Below are 21,879 nucleotides of genomic sequence, written 5' to 3' on the forward strand. Positions count from 1 at the left end.
GTAAAAATCTGTCTCATTAATCCCTTCCCAGAACGTATCCTAAATTTAAGAACTGGAAACATGCGTGCACACTGATTGTAGTGGTGAAAAATGGGAAAACACCTAAACGTTCCTCAGTGCAGAAGAGGTTAAATAAATCGTACATTCAAAAGAACATCATGCAGCCCTTCAAATCGGGCTCATCTCTGCACTGGCATAAGAAAGGTGTATAATATAGTACTGTCTGCAGAGCATGCCAGAGCCATTTTGTCTGGAAGGATTTCCATCAATATGCTGGGCCATCTCATGGTGGGAGTACAGGCAAATCTCACTTTGATCATTATAAAAACCATAAGGTAAAAGAAGGATATTTTTGGTGGGGTGGGAGAGCCCATTGAGTCCTTCCCACTCCATTTACATGTTTCAGAAAGCCTTCTCACTTGCTGTTTCTACTCTCTCCATCTTCATTTTTTTTTTTCCTTAGCACGTTTTCTCTACTACTGGAGGAAAATATTAACAGACATCATACATGCTCACAATAAACTAAAGATACACAATTAGGATACTACTATAGACCGTTCCCCCAGTGACTCTCACTTGCCAACAGTTTATCCTCCTGGTTCTAGATGCCCAGATAACCACACCATAAATTCTCCCAAGTGAGGCACATTTATGTTGCTTCCAGATCTTCTCCACAATAACCCAGCAACACTAGAATAAACTTGTACACTTCCATGCTGGTGCTTTTCATTCTAACCAGGTTTGGTTTCAAAGTGATAGTGCCCAATTAACTGCAGAACATTTGCAAGTCATGCTTCTTCCACCTGTGTTAAAACAATGACCTGGTCCTCCTGCCTGCCCATCAGCACTGGATGTTGTCACTGTTGGGTATTTTTGCTGTGGATAAAAGACAGAAGAATCTGTGCTGCTGCCTCCCACGGCATTTCCCTGCCCACCGGCGAGTGAGTGCTCTGGTAAGCACACTGGAACACCCGCCCACAGTTTATAATTTTCTAACTATTTTCTGATCTTGGTTTTCATTTTTCACATTTAAATTTTTTTTTTTTTTTTTTAAGACAGTCTCGCTCTGTCGCCCAGGCTGGAGTGCAGGGGCTCTCAGTTCACTGCAACCTCCGCCTCCCAGGTTTAGGCAATTCTCATGCCTCAGCCTCCTGAGTAGCTAGGACTACGGGCACGCACCACCACACCCAGCTACTTTTTTGTATTTTTAGTAGATACAGGGTTTTCCTATGTTGCCCAGACTGGTCTTGAGCTCCTGAGCTCAGGACCTCCACCCATCTCGGCTTCCCAAAGTGCTGTGATTACAGGCGTGAGCCACCACGCCCAGCCAAATTTTCTAGAATTTGATACAGATTGAGTATCCCTTATTCAAAGTGCTTATGACCAGAAGTCTTTCAGATTTTGATTTGCATTATACTTACCAGTTGAGCATCCCTACTCCAAAAACCCAAAATCTGAAATGCTTCAATGAGCATTTACTTTGTCATGTCTGTGCTGAAAAAGTCAGATTTTACTGGGCACAGTGTCTCGTGCCTGTAGTCTCAGCTACTCTCATGAGGCTGATGCAGGAGGATTGCTCAAGTTCAGGAGTTCAAGGCTATAGTGTGCAATGATTTCACTTGCGACCAGCCACTGCACTCCATCCTGCACAACATGGCAAGACTCAATTCTTTTTTCTTAAAGAAAAAGGTTTTGGATTTCGGAGCATTTCGGATTTTCAGATGACGGATGAACTCAATCTGTATATGTTATGAGGTAGAGGGTCCAAAATTTTCTTTTCCAGAAATGTACAAAACACACCATTTATTTCCCTACCAAATTGGCATATAGGTCTACCATCCCTTATCTATAAACTGGAAATCCAAAAGGCTCTAGAAAACAAGTCTTCCCCCAAAATTCATTTGGTGGCTAAATGTGAACTGACATTACATTTTTCATTTATATGTAAGTCATGTGAAGAATTATTTGTGACTCAACTACAAGGCGCTTTCCCCAGATCCTGTTGGAGAGGTTAGTGCTAATACCATATTGTCTTTCTTTTTATTTTATTTTAGAGATAGGAGTCTCACTCTGTTGCCCAGGCTGCACTGCCATTGTGTGATCACGGCTCACTGCAGCCTCAAACTCCTGGGCTCAAGTGATCTTCCCATGCTAGCCTCTTGAGTAGCTGGGACTATAGGCACTCACCACCATGCTTGGCTAATTTTTTATTTTTTGTAGAGACGAGATCTCACTATGGTCAGGAACTCCTGGGCTCAAGCAATCCCACCTAAGCCTCCCAAAGTGCTGGGATTGCAGGTGTGAGCCACTGCCCCCAGCCTTGCATATTGGTTTTCTGAAGCTGAAAAATTAATTCTGAGGCTTCTGGCCCTAAGGTTTCAGATAAAATATCTGTACTAACTTTAACAAATTACTAAGTCTGAAATATACTGAGATCTTTTGCTAGACTCTCTATTCTGGTTCCACTGTTTCATTACTGTGCTAATTATCACTTTTTTTGTTTTTTAATTGCAGCAGCTTTGTAGTAAGTTTTAGTATTTCTGAAATCAATCTCTCAGCTATTGTTAGACTGAATTTTACAATGTAAAACTTTAAAATAATTTCATTTCATTCAGTCCTACTCCCCGACTGATATTTTTGACTAGAAATGTGCTGTCTATATTAATTTGGAGAGAACTGGTTTTTGTTTTGTTTCACTATTAAATTGCCTATTTAAGAACACAGAACATTCCTCCATTCATTAAGGTCTATTTCTTTTTTTTTTTTTTTTTTTTTTTGAGATGGAGTCTTGCTCTGTTGCTCAGGCTGAAATGCAGTGGCATGATCTCAGCTCACTGCAACCTCCACCTCCAAGGTTCAAGCAATTCTCTGCTTCAGCCTCCCAAGTAGCTGAGATTATAGGCACCCACCACCCCACCCGGCTAATTTTTTGTATTTTTAGTAGAGACAGGGTTTCACCATCTTGGCCAGGCTGGTCTTGAACTCCTGACCTAGTGATTCACCTGCCTCCGCCTCCCAAAGTGCTGGGATTATAGGCGTGAGCCACCGTGCCCGGCTAAGGTCTTATTTCATATCCTTGGAGTATTTGCAGTTCTTAAAAGATCTCAAGCCTTTCTTCTTCCCTCCCTGTTTTTTTTTTTTTTGAGACGGAGTTTTGCTCTTGTTGCCCAGGCTGGAGTGCAATGGCGCGATCTTGGCTCACTGCAACCTCCGCCTCCCAGGTTCAAGCGATTCTCCTGCCTCAGCCCCCTGAGTAGCTGAGATTACAGGCGCCCACCACCACGCCCAGCTAATTTTTTGTATTTTAGTAGAGACAGGGTTTCATTATGTTGGCCAGGCTGGTCTCAAACTCCTGACCTCAGGCAATCCACCCGCCTCAGCCTCCCCAAAGTGCTGGGATTACAGGCATGAGCCACCATGCCTGGCCCTCAAGTCTTTCTTCTTAAATCTGTATTCTTAGCTATTTCATACATTGTGTGGTTATTTTAAGTAGTTTTTTTTCCATTTAAATTTCTAACTGGTTAATACTAGAATAGAGAAACACTACGACTTTTTGTACGCTATTTTGAATCCCATCCCCTTACCAAATTCTATTAATTCTAAGAACATTTTGCTGGGATCATTCAGCTTTTCTAAGAGCATAATCACATTATTTGCACATAAAGAGAGTTTGCATTATACCAATAATATTGCTAGATTTTTTGTTTTTGTTTTTGAGACGGAGTCTCGCTTTGTCGCCCAGGCTGGAGTGCAGTGGCGCGATATCAGCTCACTGCGAGCTCCGCCTCCCAGGTTCATGCCATTCTCTTTTTTTTTTTTTTTGAGACGGAGTCTCGCTCTGTTGCCCAGGCTGGAGTGCAGTGGCGGGATCTCGGCTCACTGCAAGCTCCGCCTCCCGAGTTCACGCCATTCTCCTGCCTCAGCCTCCCAAGTAGCTGGGACTACAGGCGCCCACCACCACGCCCGGCTAATTTTTTGTGTTTTTAGTAGAGACGGGGTTTCACCGTTTTAGCCGGGATGGTCTCGATCTCCTGACCTCGTGATCCGCCCGCCTCGGCCTCCCAAAGTGCTGGGACTACAGGCGTGAGCCACCGCGCCCGGCCTTTCATGCCATTCTCTTGCCTCAGCCTCCCGAGTAGCTGGGACTACAGGCGCCCGCCACCACGTCTGGCTAATTTTTTGTATTTTTAGTAGAGATGGGGTTTCACCGTGTTAGCCAGGATGGTCTCGATCTCCTGACCTCGTGATCCACCCACCTCGGCCTCCCAAAGTGCTGGGATTACAGGCATGAGCCACCGCGCCCGGCAACTGTTGCTAGATTTCTTAGGGAACCATCCCTCCATTCCAGAAACAAACCTTACTTATAATGTATCATACATAGGGATCACTACTAGATTGATAGTTACTAATATTTTATTTAGCACTTCATTTTATTTATTTTTTTGAGACAGAGTCTTGCTCTGTTGCCCCGGCTGGAATGCAGTGGCACGATCACAGCTCATTGCAGCCTCAACCTCCTGGGCTCAGGTGATCCTCCCACCTCAGCCTCCCAAGTAGCTGGGACCACAGGCCCCAGTACCTGGCTAATTTTTTTATTTTTAATTTTATAGACACAGTGTCTCACTATATTGCCCAGGCTGGTCTTGAACTCCTGGGCTCAAATGATCCTCCCACCTCAGTCTCCCCAAGTGCTGGGATTACAGGTATAAGCCACTATATCCAGCCAACTTTCTTTCTTTTTTTTCTTTTTTTTTTTTTGAGGAGTCTCACTCTGTTGCCCAGGCTGGAGTGCAGTGGCGCGATCTCGGCTCACTGCAACCTCCGCCTCCTGGGTTCACACCATTCTCCTGCCTCAGCCTCTCGAGTAGCTGGGACTACAGGCGCCCGTCACTACGCCCGGCTAATTTTTTGTATTTTTAGTAGAGATGGGGTTTCACCGTGTTAGCCAGGATGGTCTTGATCTCCTGACCTCGTGATCCGCCTGCCTCGGCCTCCCAAAGTGCTGGGATTACAGGCATGAGCCACCGCGCCCGGCCAATCCAGCCCACTTTCATATCTTTAATAATAGTAAACTAATCTACAGTTTCATTTTGGTATCATCTTTATCAGAATTTTGGAATTAAGGTTTAAGAAGCTTCCTAAATATTGAGAGGACAGACTCTAGCATAGCAGTCTGAGGCGTTCCCTGGAACACTCCCTAGTGAAACTGATGAAAAGTATTAAAAAACAACCATTTAAAGTCTCTGAAAATGTTCCTAAGGACATACAGCCCTATGAGAAAGATTTAATGAGGAAAAGCTACTAAAACTCAGTTCCATGAAGAGTTGTGATGTCTGAAACACAACCTATTGCATCCCTGCCTCCCCCAGCTTAGTGTGATGGAAACTCCACTCCAGACAGTACAGCCAAGAAGACAGGTCTGCCCGCATCTACCCAGATCATCTCAGTTAAGGGGTATGATATCTTCCCAGGAGGAACAGAATGTCAGCATCTATTTTTCTGAGTTGGAGTTTCACTCTTGGTTGCCCAGGCTGGAGTGCAATGGCGTGATATCGGCTCACTGCAACCTCTACTTCCCGGGTTCAAACAATTCTCCTGCCTCAGCCTTCCGAGTAGCTGGGATTACAAGTGCCCGCCACCAAGCCCGGCTAATTTTTGTATTTTTAGTAAAGATGGGGTTTCACGATGTTGTCCAGGCTGGTCTTGAACTCCTGACCTCAGGTGATCTGCCCACCTTGGCCTCCCAAAGTGCTGGGATTACAGGCGTGAGCCACTGTACCCAGCCGGATGTCAGTATCTCTCATCCCGCCCCCAGCTACCTGCTGATGAGGCTAAGTTCTAGACAAGCATAGCTGAGAGAGAACGGTTCCTATCTTCTACCCAGCCACACGCACGTGGAATGGAGGCTTGACCCTGGGCATGGCACACTAAGAATATAAGGGCTCACATACCCATGGCTTGTTCATAAAGCAGAGGTCCCATGCCAGGAAAGGCAAACCAAGACCGGAGGCTACAGCCTACTGTACCTCCTCCCATGTCTCTCCTAAAGTGGCAGAGTCACTCAGAGAGAGGTACTCCATTGTCTCCATCCCCAGAGCCTTGGCTCAGAGATTCTGCCCACAGTGAGAGCACGGCCTTAAATCAGTAAACTCCCAATCTCAAAGGAACTGACTGACTTCACTGGCAAGAGTGTTGGGAAGTGCAAGACTAGGGCCTCTCTCAAAAACAATGGAGACTAGGGAGGAAAAAAATTAAAAGGACATTGATAGCTTTTTTTTTTCTTTCTGAATATTTATTGGAGTTAAACACTGATAGCTTTGTCCTTTTTTTTTTCCCCCACCACACAGCCATAAAAAAGAAGGACCGGTAGATTTGACAGTGATATTAGCTAACCCATAGGCTAACTAGGTTACCAAAGAGGACAAGGACCAGTGAAATAGCTAAGAACAGACTCCCTGGGTTCAGAATAAATCTCAAACAACCACCTCAAAAACCATCCCTCTTGGGCCTGGCATAGTGGCTGACGCCTGTAATCCCAGCACCTTGTGAGGCTGAGGTGGGTGGCTCATAAGATCAAGAGTTCGAGACCAGCCTGGCCAACATGGTGAAACCCCGTCTCTACTAACAATACAAAAATTAGCCGGGCGTGGTAGCACATGCCTGTAATCCCAGCTACTCGGGAGGCTGAGGCAGGAGAATTGCTTGAACCTGAGAGGTGGAGGTTGCAGCAAGCCAAGATCGCGCCACTGCATTCCAGCCTGGGCAACAGAGCAAGACTCTTGTCTGGGAGAGGGGGCGGGGAGGGGAGGGGAAAAAAATCCCTATAAAGGAGCCCAAATTTAATTGGATCAGATTGGGCAGCAATCTATGCCCCAAAACATTGTTGAAAACAATAAAGCAATCAGCCAGCAATTGGTAGAGTTTAACAGCTGAGTATGGTCTGGGAAAAAGAGCGAGCCCATGGCTTCCTCCCTCCAAGACACACCACCAGTTTCATACTGTGTGAGAATGAAAGAGACCTAACTAAAAAAATCTAGCAAGTCACTAAACAAATAGACAAGCAAATACAGTAACAAGACCCTGGGAGGGTGGGTGGGGGATCAGTGCCCAGAGTTGCCACAACAAATTATCTAAGATGTCTAGTTAACAGTGAAAAATTATGAGACATCCAAAGGAAACTCTGACCCAGGCACAGATGAAAAAGCAGACAATAGAAACTTCCTGTGACAGTGAACAGATGTCAAATTCAACAAACATTTTAAAGTAGCAATTGTAAATAGGTTTAAAGAAAACTCAAGTAGAAGAAGGTATAATGACACTGTCTCATGAAACAATTTAAACACAGAGATAGAAATGATAATAATAAAATGGTAAATCTTAGAGCTGAAAAGTACAATAACGGACACCAAAAATCCATTTGAAGGACTCAACAGATTTGAACTTAAGAATTAGTGAACTTGGGCCGGGTGCGGTGGCTCACGCCTGTAATCCCAGCACTTTGGGAGGCCGAGGCGGGCAGATCATGAGGTCAGGAGATCGAGACCATCCTGGCTAACATGGTGAAACCCCGTCTCTACTAAAAATACAAAAAAATTAGCCGGGCGTGGTGGCGGGCGCCTGTAGTCCCAGCTACTCCGGAGGCTGAGGCAGGAGAATGGCATGAACCTGGGAGGCGGAGCTTGCAGTGAGCCGAGATCGCGCCACTGCACTCCAGCCTGGGCGACAGAGCTAGACTCCATCTCTAAAAAAGAGTGAACTTGGCCGAGCTCGGTGGCTCACGCCTATAATCCCAGCACTTAGGGAGGCCGAGGCAGGCGGATCACAAGGTCAAGAGATGGAGACCATCTTGGCTAACACGGTGAAACCCCATCTCTACTAAAAAAAAAAAAAAATACAAAAAATTAGCCGGGCGTGGTGGTGGGCGCCTATAGTCCCCAGCTACTTGGGAGGCTGAGGCAGGAGAATGGCATGAACCCAGGAGGCGGAGCTTGCAGTGTGCAGAGATGGCGCCACTGCACTCCAGCCTAGGCAACAGAGCGAGACTCCATCACAAAAAAAAAAGAAAAAAAAAAAAAAAGAATTAGTGAACTTGTGTATCAAAAGAGATTATACAATCTGCAGAACAGAGGGAAAAAAATGAGGTAAAATGAACAGTCTCAGACAACCATGGCACACTATTAAGTGATCCAACATACGGGTAATGAGCATTAGAAGAGGAAAGAGAGAAAGGAGTAGGAAAACAAAATACTTGAAGAAACAATGGCTGAAAGCTTTGGAAGGTTGATGAAACCTGTAATCTATACATCAAAGCAGCTCAGGCCGGGCGTGGTGGCTCACGCCTGTAATCCCAGCACTTTGGGAGGCCGAGGCGGGCAGATCACGAGGTCAGGAGATCGAGACCATCCTGGCCAAGATGGTGAAACCCCATCTCTACTAAAATACAAAAAATTAGCCGGGCATGGTGGTGTGCACCTGTAATCCCAGCTACTCAGAAGGTAGAGGCAGGGGAATCACTTGAACCTGGGAGGCGGAGGTTGCAGTGAGCTGAGATTGTGCCATTGCACTCCAGCCTGGCCACAGACCAAGACTCCGTCTCAAGAAACAAAAAACCAGCCCAACAAACTCCACGTAGAATAAACACAGAGAGATGCACAAAGACATAATGAAGGTGCCAAGAGTCAAAGACAGGGGAAAAATCTTGAAAGCAGCAAGACAAAACAAATCATCACAAGGAAACCCCAATATTAGGTTAAAGCCGACTTCTCAGCGGGGCACGGTGGCTCATGCCTGTAGTGGCAAGACCCTGTCTCTATTTATTTTTTTTTAATCAAAAAAGGGAACTCTGTAGACAGACACAAATTACTAAAAATGACTTAAAAAAAAACCCCAGACTATCTGAATATACCCTATAACAAGTGGAGACTGAATTATTAATAATAATAAAAAAAAACTAGTTAACAGGCTGGGCACAGTGGCTCATGCCTATAATCCCAGCACTTTGGGAGGCCAAGGCAGGCAGATCGCTTGAGTCCAGAAATTTGATACCAGCCTGGGTAACATGACAAAACCCCGTCTCTACAAAAAACTACCAAAACTAGCCGGGCATGATGTCACACATGCCTTTAGTCCCTGCTATTTGGGAGGCTGAGGTGTGAGGATCGCCTGAGCCTGAGAGGTGGAGGTTGCAGTGAGCCGAGATCACACCGTTGCACTCCAGCCTAGGCGACAGAGTGAGACCCTGTCTCAAAAAAAAAAAAAAAAAAAATCTAGTTAACAAAAGCCAGGCCTAGATGGCTTCATAAGCAAATTCTACGAAGCACTTGAAGAATTAATACTAGTATATACTAGTTCTTCACAAACTCTTCCAAGAAACCAGAAAAGGAAGAAAAATGACAACTGTATGAGGCCAGTATTAATTAACCTGATACCCAAACCAGACAAATATATCACCAAAACACTACAGACTATTATCTTTTATGAATATAGATGCAAAAATTCTCAACAAAATAGCAGCAAAACCAATCTAATATATAAACATAATTACACACTATGACCAAGCAGGATATATCCCAGGGACACAAGGGTGTTTTATATCCAAATAAAATAATCTAACATACTGTAACAACACAATTAAAGACAAAAGCCACATGATCACCTCAACAGAGGCAGAAAAAGCATTTGACAAAGTCCAACACCATTTTAAGATAAAACACTTAACAGGACTAGAAGGGAACGTCTTCAACTCAATCAAGGGCACCTATGAAAAACCCACAGCTGACATCACACTTAATGGTAAAGACTGGTGCTTTCCCTGTAAGATCAGAAAGATGAGGACATCCATTCTCACCACTTCTATTCAATACTGTATTGGAGGTTCTAACCAGGGCAATTAGGTAAGAAAAAGAAATAAAGTGCATCTAGATTGGAAAGGAGAAGTAAAACTAACTCTATTTGCAGATGACTGATGTTGTACAAAGAAACCCCTAAGAAATCCACTAAAAACTAGGTTGGGCACGGTGGCTCATGCCTGTAATCCCAGCACTTTGGGAGGCCGAGGCGGGTGGATCATGAGCAGGAGATTGAGACCATCCTAGCTAACATGGTGAAACCCCATCTCTACTAAAAATACAAAAAATTAGCTGCGCGTGGTGGCGGGCACCTGTAGTCCCAGCTACTTGGGAGGCTGAGGCAGGAGAATGGCGTGAACCTGGGAGGTGGAGGTTGCAGTGAGCCGAGATTGCACCACTGCACTCCAGCCAGGGCGACAGAGTGAGACTCTGTCTCAAAAAAAAAAAAAAAAAAAAAAAATCCACTAAAAACTATTAGAACTAATAAACATTATTTTATGTTTTTATTTTTATTTTATTTTATTTATTTATTTTTTGAGATGGAATCTCGCTGTGTCTCCCAGGCACAGTGCAGTGGTGCGATCTCAGCTCACTGCAACCTCCGCCTCCCGGGTTCACGCCATTCTCCTGCCTCAGCCTCCCAAGTAGCTGGGACTACAGGTGCCCGCCACCACACCTGGCTAATTTTTTGTATTTTTAGTAGAGACGGGGTTTCACCATGTTAGCCAGGATGGTCTGGATCTCCTGACCTCGTGATCTCCCGCCTCAGCCTCCCAAAGTGTTGGGATTACAGGCATGAGCCACTGCGCCCAGCCTTATGTTTTTATTTTTTAGAGACAGGGTCTTGCTCTGTCACTCATGCTGGAGTGCATGGTAGGATCATAGCTCACTGCAACCTCAACCTCATAGGCTCAAGCCATCCTCTTACCTCAGCCTCCTGCGTAGCGGGGACTACAGGCACTTGCCGCCACACCTGGCTAACTTGTTTCTTTTATACAGACAGGGTCTCACTATGTTGCCCATGCTGGTCTCAAACTCTTGGACTGAAGCAATCCTCCCACCTTCACCTCCTAAAGTGTTTGGATTACAGGTATGAGCTATAATGCCTAGCCATAGCTGAAATATTATTAAAATTATGAAATATTAAAAACAAATAGTTCAGTGAGGTTGTAGGGTATAATATCAATATATTGGCTGAGCACAGTGGCTCATGCCTATAATCCCAGCACTTTGGGAAGCTGAGGCAGGAGGACTGCTTGAGCCCAGGAGTTTGAGACCAGCCTGGGCAACATGGTGAAACCCTGTCTCTACAAAAAATACAAAAATTAGCTGGGCATAGTGGCACATGCCTGTAGTCCCAGCTACTTGGGAGGCTGAGGTGGGAGGATTACCTGAGCCCAGGAGGTTGGAGGCTGTAGTGAGTCATGATGGTGCCACTGCACTCCAGCCTAGGCAACAGAGTGAGACCCTATTTCAAGAATAAAAAAAAAAAGTATTTTTATACACATGCAAAAAAAATCCAAAAATATCAAGAAAACAATTCCATTCATAATAGTAACAGAAAGAATAAAATACTTATAAATAATCTTAACAGGCCGGGCCTGGTGGCTCATGCCTGTAATCCCAGCACTTTGGGAGGCTGAGGTGGGTGGATCCCCCAAGGTCAGGAGTTCAAGACCAGCCTCGCCAACATGGTGAAACCCTGTCTACCAAAAATACAAAAAATTAGCTGGGCGTGGTGGTGCGTGCCTGTAATCCCAGCTACTCAGGAGGCTGAGACAGGAGAATTGCCTGAACCCAGGAGGCGGAGGTTGCAGTGAGCCAAGATGGCACCACTGCATTCCAGCCTGGGCAACAAGAGCAAAACTCTGTCTCAAAAAAAAAAAAATCTTAACAATAAAGAACAAAGCTTACACCCTGAAAACTACAAAACCTTTGAAAGAAATTAATTCATTTACTAGATCTCAGTAAATGAAAAGACATCCCATATTCATGGATTAGAAGACTTAATAGCTATGGTCAACTGACTTTCAACAAAGATGCCAAGATCATTCAATGGGGGGAAAACAGTCTCTTTCATTTCTTTTTCAAATGGTGCCGGAACAACTTAATATCTAGATGCAAAAAATAAAGTTAGAACCTTACCTCATACGATATAAATAAATTAACTCAAATGGAACAAAGACCTAACTGCAAAAGCTAAAACCATAAAATTCTTAGAAGAAAACACAGGGGTAAATCTTCGTGACCTTGGATTTATCAATAGATTCTTAGTTATGACACCCAAAGCATAAGCAATAAAAGAAAATTGGACTTTATAAAAATTAAAACTATTGTGCTACAAAGGACACATCAAGAAGGTGAAAAAACCCACAGAATGGGTGAAAATATTTGTAACTCATATCAAATATGGGACTTTACAAAAAGAACTCTACAAAAGACAACACAATTAAAAAATGCACAAAGAACTTGAATAGACATTTCTCCAAAGATACAAAAATGGCCAACCAGCCCATGAAAAGATGCCATTAGTCAGTTATCAGGGCTACGCAAATCAAAACCACAATGAGATACTACTTCCCACCCACTAGGATGACTAGATCAAAAAGTCAGAAAATGCCGGGCGCGGTGGCTCATGCCTGTAATCCCACCACTTTAGGAGGCCAAGACAGGGGGATCACCTGAGGTCGGGAGTTCGCGATCAGACTGACCAACATGGAGAAACCCCGTCTCTACTAAAAATACAAAATTAGCCAGGCGTGGTGGCACATGCCTGTAATCCCAGCTAGGAGAATTGCTTGGACCCGGGAGGCAGAGGTTGTGGTGAGCCGAGATCGCGCCATTGCACTCCAGCCTGGGCAAGAAGAGCGAATCTCTGTCTCAAAAAAAAAAAAAAAAAAAAGTCAGAAACTAAGTGTTGGTGAGTATGTGAAGAAATCAGGACCCTTATATGTTGCTGGTGGAAATGTAAAATGGTGCACAGTCACTTTGGAAAATAGTCTCACAAGTTAAAGTGTTATTATTTGATCAAGACATTCCAGTCCTAGTCATATACTCAAGAAAAATGAAAACATATGTCCACATAAAAACTTGCACAATAATGTTTCTAAGAGCATTATTCATAATAGCCAAAAGGTGAAAACAACCCAAACACCCAAAAAGATAAATAAACAAAATGTGCCACATCTATCTACACAATGGAATAATATGAAGCCATATGAAGGAATGAAGTTCTGATACATGCTACAATGTGGCTGGACCCCAAAAACATCATGCTTAGTGAAAGAAGCCAATCACAGAAGACCACATATTATGTGATTCTGTTTATATGAAGTGTCTAGAATAAGCAAATAGAGAGAGATAGATTAGTAGCTGCCTAAGGCTGGAGGAGGACAAGAGGTTGGGGGGGCTGATAGCTAAAGGGTTTCTTTTTAAGGTGATGAAAATATTCTGTAATCGACTGGTTGATGACTGCAGAATTCTGTGAATACGTGAAAAACCAATGAATTGGTTTTTTTTTTCATTTGTTTGGTTTTTTTAGAGACAGGGTCTTGCTCTGTTGCCCAGTCTGGACTGTGGTGGTGCAATCATAACTTACTGTAACCTTGAACTCCTAGCCTCAAGCGATCCTCCCACCTTGGCTTCCCAAAGTGCTGGGATTGCAGGCATGAGCCACCACGCCCAGCCCAAAGACTACTGAATTGTATACTTTAAATGCGTGAATTGTACAGTATGTGATTCTATCTCAGTAAAGCTGTTACCAAAGATAACAATAATTAGAAGCTTTCCATTAATCTCTACAGTCTAGAATTCTAAAAAATACAGTATTTAGACTGTATTCAAATTATCTCTGTAAACCAATGACTTCTGGTGCCTTCTAAATATCTTTCATCATCCTTCCAAACCTCTCTACGGTTACCAGCTGCTATGGCTTGTTCTTTTTTTTTTTTTTAACTTCTTTTAGGATCAAGTTTGAGTTTATATTTTGCTATCACCTCTCCCGTATTTTCCAACTTTTTTTTTTTTGAGACAGAGTCTCGCTCTGTCGCCCAGGCTGAAGTGCAGTGGCACGATCTTGGCTTACTGCAAGCTCTGCCTCCTGGGTTCACGCCATTCTCCCACCTCAGCCTCCTGAGTAGCTGGGACTACATGCACCTGCCACCACGCCTGGCTAATTTTGTTTTTGTATTTTTAGTAGAGACGGGTTTCACCATGTTAGCCAGGATGGTCTCAATCTCCTGACCTCGTGATCCGCCCACCTTGTCCTCCCAAAGTGCCGTGCCCATTGTTTTGGTTTTTTTGTTTTGTTTTGTTTTGTTTTTGAGATGAGTCTCGCAGATTGCTCTGCGAGTGGCGCAATCTCGGCTCACTGCCACCTCTGCCTCCTGGGTTCAAGCGATTCTTCTGCCTTGGCCTCCCGAGTAGCTGGGATTACAGTGCCCGCCATCACGCCCAGCTAATTTTTGTATTTTTAGTACAGACAGCGTTTCACCACGTTGGCCAGGAAGGTCTCCATCTCTTGACCTCGTCATCTGCCCACCTTAGCCTCCCAAAGTGCTGGGATTACACGCGTGAGCCACCACGCCCAGCCAGATTTTCCAACTTTCATTAATGACATATAGTTTCCACCCTCTGCAGTCTTCTAACCCCTACTAGTTCCTAGCATAAGAATCTGTTTTTAGGCCGGGCGCGGTGGCTCACGCCTGTAATCCCAGCACTTTGGGAGGCCGAGGCGGGCGGATCACGAGGTCAGGAGATCGAGACCATCCTGGCTAACACGGTGAAACCCCGTCTCTACTAAAAATACAAAAAATTAGCCGGGCGTGGTAGCGGGCGCCTGTAGTCCCAGCTACTCGGGAGGCTGAGGCAGGAGAATGGCGTGAACCCGGGAGGCGGAGCTTGCAGTGAGCCGAGATCGCGCCACTGCACTCCAGCCTGGGCGACAGAGCGAGACTCCGTCTCAAAAAAAAAAAAAAAAAAAGAATCTGTTTTTGGCAAGTTCCCTAAAGCTTCTCTGTTGCCAAAGCCAACTGACATTTTCCTTTTCTTCCCAGAACTCTTGGTGGCATTTCCCAATCCTGAGTCTCTGCAACCAGAGAGACCCCTGACCCTGTCCACCGTTCAGAATCATCACACCGAAAAAGACCAGAGAGGAATTGTGATGAGCATGGAAGAAGATGGAGAAATGCTGCTTCCCATGCTCACCTTGGATGCGAACATCTGTTCATAAACCCCACCACCCTCCTCCAGGGTGAAGACAGCCAAGCCCCTCTTTGGCCCAGACCTGGTCCTGGGCCTCTTTGCTCTCTGCCCATACACAGCCCCTTCACCCCCACCTGCAACACAGCATGTCATCCATTCAATCAAAAAAACACCTACTCTGGCTTCCATGCTAGGCACTGGAGCAACACTGGAAAATGAGACAGAATTTGCTCATTCTCTTGCCTTATGTTCTCCATGCCGCACAACACACTTCCCTACTGCTCCCTGCTCCCTGACAATCTTGGCAGCACCGCTGTCCTCCCAGTTCCCCAAGTCAGAAACCAGAGTCACCCCAGGCTTCTGATCACTCCCACATGCCAGCCCCCGGCTCCCTTCCTTCAACTGCTCTTCTCCCCTTCACTCCCAAGGTGGGGTCTCCTCTTGTCTGGAGACTGCAGGAGCTCCTCCTTGGCCCCCACCACCCCACCCAGGTGCAGGCCTGAAGTCTCTAGTTCAACACCAACTCTAACCTGTTAATCCCACACTTGAAACTTAACTGCCTACAGGAACAAGCCCAGGCCTCTCAGTGCAGCTCTCCTGAGCCTCAAGCCCAACCCCCTCCTCCAGCAACACTTGCACTGTATCATCTCCATTTGGTTTCTGAACCTAATCTGGCGCTGGCCCCTATGAACATGGAGGTCCCCATATCCCACAGAATATATCACCTTCTCCCAGGCAGAGTCCCCATCTCTCACCCCTCTCTCTGTAGCTGTGCTGCCTGCACTGAGCTGGAAATGTCCATATCCACCTCCTCCTGCCTCCACTGCAGTCCCTCACGGGCTGGCAGAGGTTCCAACTGCACAACCTCCCCAGAGGCCTCACTCAATCTACCCACAGGACAGAGGGAGAGCACTGTGGCCACTCACCCTGCGGTTCCGGTTGTGATCCATGGTCTTCAGATGCTTCTGGATGATCCCAAACTGCATGGGAATGAAGAGGTCGCAGGCTGCACAATGGGCTGCCTCCACCTTCTTCACAAAATGCTCCATGGCAATTTCTGTAGTGGGGAGGAGGGAGTCACCACTGGGCCCAGGTGCCTAAGATAGACCCAGGTGTTCGAGAAAAAAACCACACCAGCTCCTCCTCAACTCGCCCTGCCACTTCCACCTGGGCCTGAGCCAAGGCTGGTCTCCTGACCTTCCCTGGGGGAACAGAAGGGTGTCCTGACCCTGCACCGAAAATCAGGAGTGCAGGCTGAGGCCTTGCCTGGTGGGAGTGGGCTGAAAATCTCCTCACCCTGGGTCAGATCCTGGTCTCTGTAGATTTGCTGGATGAGGCCATCAAGGTCCTCCACGGTTTTTCGGAGCTCCTCTGTCTTCTTGGTCTTGTTAGTGACGTACTCCTGCAAGGAATATAAAGGTTCATGTGGGCCGCCTTATGTTCTCAGGGGTCCAAGAAACTAAGAGCGGCTGTGTTACTCCAAGGCTCACCTGCAGAAAGTCAGCCGTCTGCTTAGGGAGCTTGGTGCCTACGTACTTAAAGTGTTCCTTGTGGAACTTGCTGTCAAGATGGCTGGCCATCTCGTCCTCATAGAAGGTCCGGTATTTGCACAGAGAACACACAAACTGGATCCTGCCACAGGAAGGAAACGAGGGGCTGAGGCTGCAAGTGTCCCAGGGGATAGTGCTGCCGCCTCACCCAACCCAGACACAAGCCCTGAAACAGGCCTTGCTCACGGGCCTCTGAAGTACGGTCCCAGCAGAGGGACAGGCTGGGACCAGTGGGGTCGGGAGTAGAAAGGGCCAGAAAGTCTGCAGGCTGCAGTTACTGCAACGTAGGGGACAGGGGAGGAGCTCTTCCTTCCCACAGGCAGGAGGCTGAAGCCTGAGACAGCAGCTGCTGCAACAGGCAACGAGTCGCTGGAAAGTTGCTGGAGGGCCTCGCTACCAAGGCTGGGCAGGAGCGTGTGCACTTGGCCCAGGTGGGGACCGGAAGGAAGGATGCCCTGGCGTGAGCCAGGTGGCCCTGAGGTGCAGAGTGGAGTACGCAGTCCCGAGGCAGGGCCCGAAAAGGTGCTGCATCTTCCTTCTGGGATCTGGGGGACTCAAAGGCCCAGCCCATCCTCTGCTCAGAATGCTTGGGGGTGGTGTCGGGAGGGATGGGAGGCAGCAGGCCTGGGCACCTGCTGCCTCATCTTCCTCTTCCAAGAAGAGACCAGTCTGAGCTGGAAGGAGGGCGCCCGCTCGGCCTGCCAGAGGGCAGCCTGGAGTCACCTGGGCGAGGTGCTCTGTCTGGGCCTGGTGTCCACAGTAGAAGCCCGGGGTCTGGGGCCTGGGCCGGAGCAGGCCGCCGTGGCAAGGGGCGGAGGAGGCCAGCCGCCACCGAGACCTCGGGGCGGGTCCCTACCTCTGCCGGACGTCCTTATCTGGGCCACGGGGTCAGCTTTGTCTGGAGAGCCCAGGGGCCGGGCGCCGGCGAGGCTGAGGAAGGTCCAGCAAGAGCAAGAGTCTGAGGCGGAGGAGGCAAGCGCCAGTGCGGGAGCCCTGAGGGCAGACAGACCCGACCAAGGGGCGTGAAGGGCTCAGCCGCAGACAGGCCCGGCCTGACAGGGCCGGCGGGCAGGGCAGAAGGCAGGCCCGAGGCTGCCACAGCCCACAGGTGCTGCCATCTCTCCTGGGCACGGCGGTGGCCTCTTGGCAGCTAGCTGGGGCGGCACAGGCGCCTTGGACCTTGAGTCTCTGATGAGCTGGCCCCCTCCCTCAGGGGCATCAGGCCCCCAGTGCACCTTGGGGTTCGTGCGCCGAGTGACCTAGCGCCAGAGCTTCTGAGCAACGGTGCCGAGCGGTGTCAGGTCTCGGCCCACAGACGCCAGCGGTCGCCAGGCGGCCGCAGAGGGGCAGGGGATGAGTCAGGCCTTGGGAGCTGGGCCTGGCGGGAAGCAGGGTCCATGCACGGCCGAGCAGGTGGCGGCTCCCAAGGGAGGCCAGAGGGCGGCGAGCTGGCAGAGCTATGGCCCTGCTCTCCTGGCGGCAGCCCCACAGCGAGGCAGAGGCAGAGGGGTGGAGGGAAGCTGGTTACCTTTCCACCATGCGGTCTCGCTGCCGCTTTTTCTGCTTGTCCTGACTCTTCTTGCCTGCCTGCAACTTGCGCTTGGTCTGGCCATTTTCATCCTGGGTGGTTAGGGCCCCTGTGGGAGCAGATGGGCACTGTCACCAATTTGGCTCTGCCAGGACAGGGCAGGCCCTGCGGCCTCTGGCTGAATCACCCACTGTCCACTCCAGAGGGTCCATCGAGAATAGCTGTCCAAGCAAGGCCTCTGGCCATGAGCAGGGCTGGGTATCCTGGGCTGTGCAGGGAGTGGGTTTGGCCTAGGCCCCAAGGAGTGGGGGCCAGGCGATGACCCCTCCACTCTCCAGGACACCCATGCTCTCTGTGCAGTGGGCCAGGAGGAGGCTGGAAAGCAAAGAGGGGGTATCTTTGTGGGGACACTGGCACATGTTCAGAGGGGCCAGGTGGTGGGATGCAGGGAGGCTGCTCACATGGCCCTGCCCACCCCCAACCGGGCACCGCGGCAACAGTGGGCTGACGCTGGATTTGCTGTTAGGTACCTGCTGGCGCTCATCACTCAGGTGGGGGGACACGGAATCCCAACAGGGGCTGGAGAGGTGCTAAGGGAGAGGATACGCACACCAGAGCCGTAAAAACTGCACCGAGGGTCCCAGATCGGACACCAGCCACTGAGGACTTGGAACTGCGCGTTACTGAGGGACCGAGGGCAGGGGGCGTGCCTGGGGTTCCCCACACTTTTACTAGCTGCCCCCATCTGAAGGCAAAACCAGTGTGCTAGGCAGGGGTCACCACCATCCACAGCCTCCGCCTGGGAAGGAGGAGGAAGAGTGGGAAGGGGGTGGAGGCGGCGAAAAGAAAGCCCCCTGCCAGCACACACTCGGGCCCACAAGGGAGGTCCCCAACTGGCCGCATGTCTGCCGCAACCCTGCCCTCAGCTGGGTCCCTCCCACTGTGAGCCCCTGGAAGAGCCGCCCTAGCACCAGGCACCCCAGGAAAACTCACCCTTCTCTGGATCCTCTTTGCCTTCTTCTCTCCCATCCTCTTTTCCCTCCTCATCCTCTCCGTCCTAACAATTTCAAATTCCAACTTTAAAACAGGTGCCTTTTTTTTTTTTTTTAAAAGAAACCAAGTTTATTAGAGCAACGGTATATAGTAAAACAGCTGCTTGCTCCATAGACAGAGCAGGGCTATCCTATAGGCAGGGTGGCCCAGAGTAGCCCAGTTATTTACAATGGCTTTAAATGACAAGGCCCGGCTATGTGCCAGAAACCTCACATCCTCCCACTACCTGGTGCACAGGGGCTCATCCCATTTTCCAACAAGGAAACTGTGCCTCCAGCTAGGCAGCCTGTGCTTTCTGCCAGACCACACTGCCTCCCCATGCTGGTCACCATGCACGCAGAGCTGACACAGCATTGCCTCTGGCCCCCAGGGAGAGCACCACTCTTTAGGCCAGCTCGCCCTGCCTGCAGACAGAAAATGCCCAGCCAGAGCCACTTACCACTCTGGAGCCCTTCTCCACAGCCTCGGTGCCTTCAAGGCCCTCTGTGGCTTCCCCCTCGGTGCCCTCATCTGAAAGGGAAAAGGAGGTAAGCTCAACCCAGGAGTTCCCAGAGGCAGGGGGCAGCCGCCCAGTACCACCTAGTGGGCTCACCATTGTCTGAGTCGCTGTTGTCCGAGCAGTCCGTGCGGGTGGCTTTGCTATCTGGCTCATCAGGACTGCCGCCCTGCTTTCTCTTCTTCTTCTTGGTCTGGGTCATAAGGGGGGGAAGCCGTGTCAGGGTGCATGGCACCCGGCCCTTAGCTCCGCCCCAGTGGGAACTAAGCTTCCCAGAGGGGAAGGCTGCCTCCACTCACTCGGAAGTCGGCTGTGGTCCAGGTCTTCCAGGTCCGCCTCATCTGCTTCATGCCATTGCCAAACCCGAAACCAAAGCGGGAGCCGCCCGGGAAGGCGCCCCCACCTCGCATGCCCTGGAACATGCCGTACTCGGGGATGATGTTCTGGGAGAAGAGGGAGGGCAGCCGAGAGGCACCAGACATGCACTGGCCCCGGGCCCCCATGGGGTCTTCCCACATGCGCCCATAGCCTGAGGCCATTGGCCGGCCGCTCCGGGCATCCCGGGCCCAGCCCTGTGCCCTGGGACCGAAGGTGTCGTTGCCACGCATGCGGAACTGGTCGCGGTAGGCATCGTATTGGCCCTCATAGGCCATTTCCATCTCAGGGTCAAGCTCGCTGTAGTCATAGCCTGACCGGTACAGGTCGCGCTCACTCAGGACGGCCCTCGAGTCGCAGGACTCATAAGAGTCATACCTGCAGAGGCATGGGGTGAGCATCAGGTGGAGCCCCTCAGGATCCCTCACCTCCAGGCAACTGCTCCTGCCCTCCCCAATCTCCCAGTCCAGCACCCACCCTGCCCTGGTTGGGAGGCTCAATGTTCAGAAATGCCGATTAAAGAGTTCCAGCCTCTCAGCTGATATAGGGGCACCACTGCCCCAAACTTGAATGTAGCCACACACTGGCTTGGGGACCCTAAGAAGGACTGAAGGACTGATAACTGGGGTGGAGGCTCTAGTCCAGTGAGTCTCAACAAGGGGCAGAGCTGCTCCACAGCCCTTTGGGAACATGTACACCATCTGTGGGAGCTGCAACGCCCAAGGCTGCTCCTCACAGGGCAAGGCTGAGCACCCCAGCACCCTGCAGGATGCAGGCAGGTCCAGCACAATGAATGCGCAGCCAGTGAGGCTGATGATACCCATGGGAAACACTGTTCTTGTCCCTCATGGCTGGGGAACCTTCAAACTCTGCAAAGTCCCTCATTACCAAAACAACTGAGACAAAAGGGGGAGTATTTCCCAGGGAAGACACTGAGAGCTTGCCCAGGGACAAGAAAAAGAGCTGTATTACATCAACCCTGGAGCCCAGAGCCAGACACCAAACTCTATATACCCTGTATTGCAACTGGGAAGGCAGGCCAGACCTCCTCCCAGGACACAGAGGGCACCGCAGAGAGCTCTTTTAACCGTGACTGCAGCCCGCAGCCCACACCCCTACAGGCCTGGACCCCACACACCTCACAGGCACAGGGGCTCCCCTTGCACACTCTTCCCTAAACCTGGGCCACCAAGAGGCACCGGCAGCTCTAAGAGCAGCAGTTGGTGCTGCCGCTGCTCTGCTTACCCCGATCCCAGGCTCCAGGCTGTGGTAAGAAGGTGCATAGCAGCAACGCAAGGCCAAGCCTCACATGCCAAGCCCTCAGCTCTGAGTGCTGCAGCTGTTGGGCCAGGAGTTACAGAGCCCATGGCATCAAATCCCCTTGTGCCTGTTCCACACCCTGCCACCACAGCCCTGGGGCCTCCCTTGGCCCTATCAGTGCTCAGCCAGGCAACTCCTTACTCTTGGCTCTCACTCATCTGTTAGCTGGTGCTCCACTCTATCCCATGTTAGAGATACACCCACGCTCCTCACCAAAGCCTCGCACTGGGCATAAGCACTCCTGGGCCAAGTCCAGTTCAGTTAATAACAAATGCCCACAGCATGATGCTTTGGAGTAGGGCAGATCTGGTAGGCGAGGCCCAGCCCCACCAAGTACTTGCTGCGTGCCTTCAGGGTATGACCTGCCTGCACTTCTGTATCCCCACCTGCAAAATGAGGACAGCAGCAGTTCCTCACAGGAGTGCTTCCATCAGGTACATGTTTGTAAGGCACAGGAGAGTAACCAGGAAATGCCCACACCTGCCCCGACCCTTACGTGGGGGTGGC

At 49.3% G+C, this 21,879-nt stretch overlaps 1 protein-coding gene across 3 annotated transcripts in view; it reads right to left on the reverse strand.

Annotated features, from left to right (window-relative positions):
* The window catches only part of AKAP8L (A-kinase anchoring protein 8 like), a 38,939-nt gene that overhangs the window by 1,124 nt on the left and 15,936 nt on the right, over window positions 1-21,879 (reverse strand). For 2 of the 3 annotated variants that reach the window (NM_001291478.2, NM_014371.4), the window contains exons 5-12: window positions 19,977-20,430; window positions 19,774-19,870; window positions 19,621-19,691; window positions 19,122-19,185; window positions 18,129-18,237; window positions 16,541-16,682; window positions 16,347-16,452; window positions 15,977-16,107 (exon numbers count right to left, since the gene is read on the reverse strand). In NM_001291478.2, coding sequence (NP_001278407.1) covers window positions 15,977-16,107; window positions 16,347-16,452; window positions 16,541-16,682; window positions 18,129-18,237; window positions 19,122-19,185; window positions 19,621-19,691; window positions 19,774-19,870; window positions 19,977-20,430 — 1,174 coding nt within the window. Of the gene's footprint in view, window positions 1-15,976; window positions 16,108-16,346; window positions 16,453-16,540; window positions 16,683-17,456; window positions 17,594-18,128; window positions 18,238-19,121; window positions 19,186-19,620; window positions 19,692-19,773; window positions 19,871-19,976; window positions 20,431-21,879 lie in introns of all 3 variants that reach the window. The other variant, NR_111971.2, reaches the window with a different exon arrangement.

Source organism: Homo sapiens, chromosome 19, assembly GCF_000001405.40.
Source record: "Homo sapiens chromosome 19, GRCh38.p14 Primary Assembly".
Taxonomy (NCBI): Eukaryota; Metazoa; Chordata; class Mammalia; order Primates; family Hominidae; genus Homo; species Homo sapiens.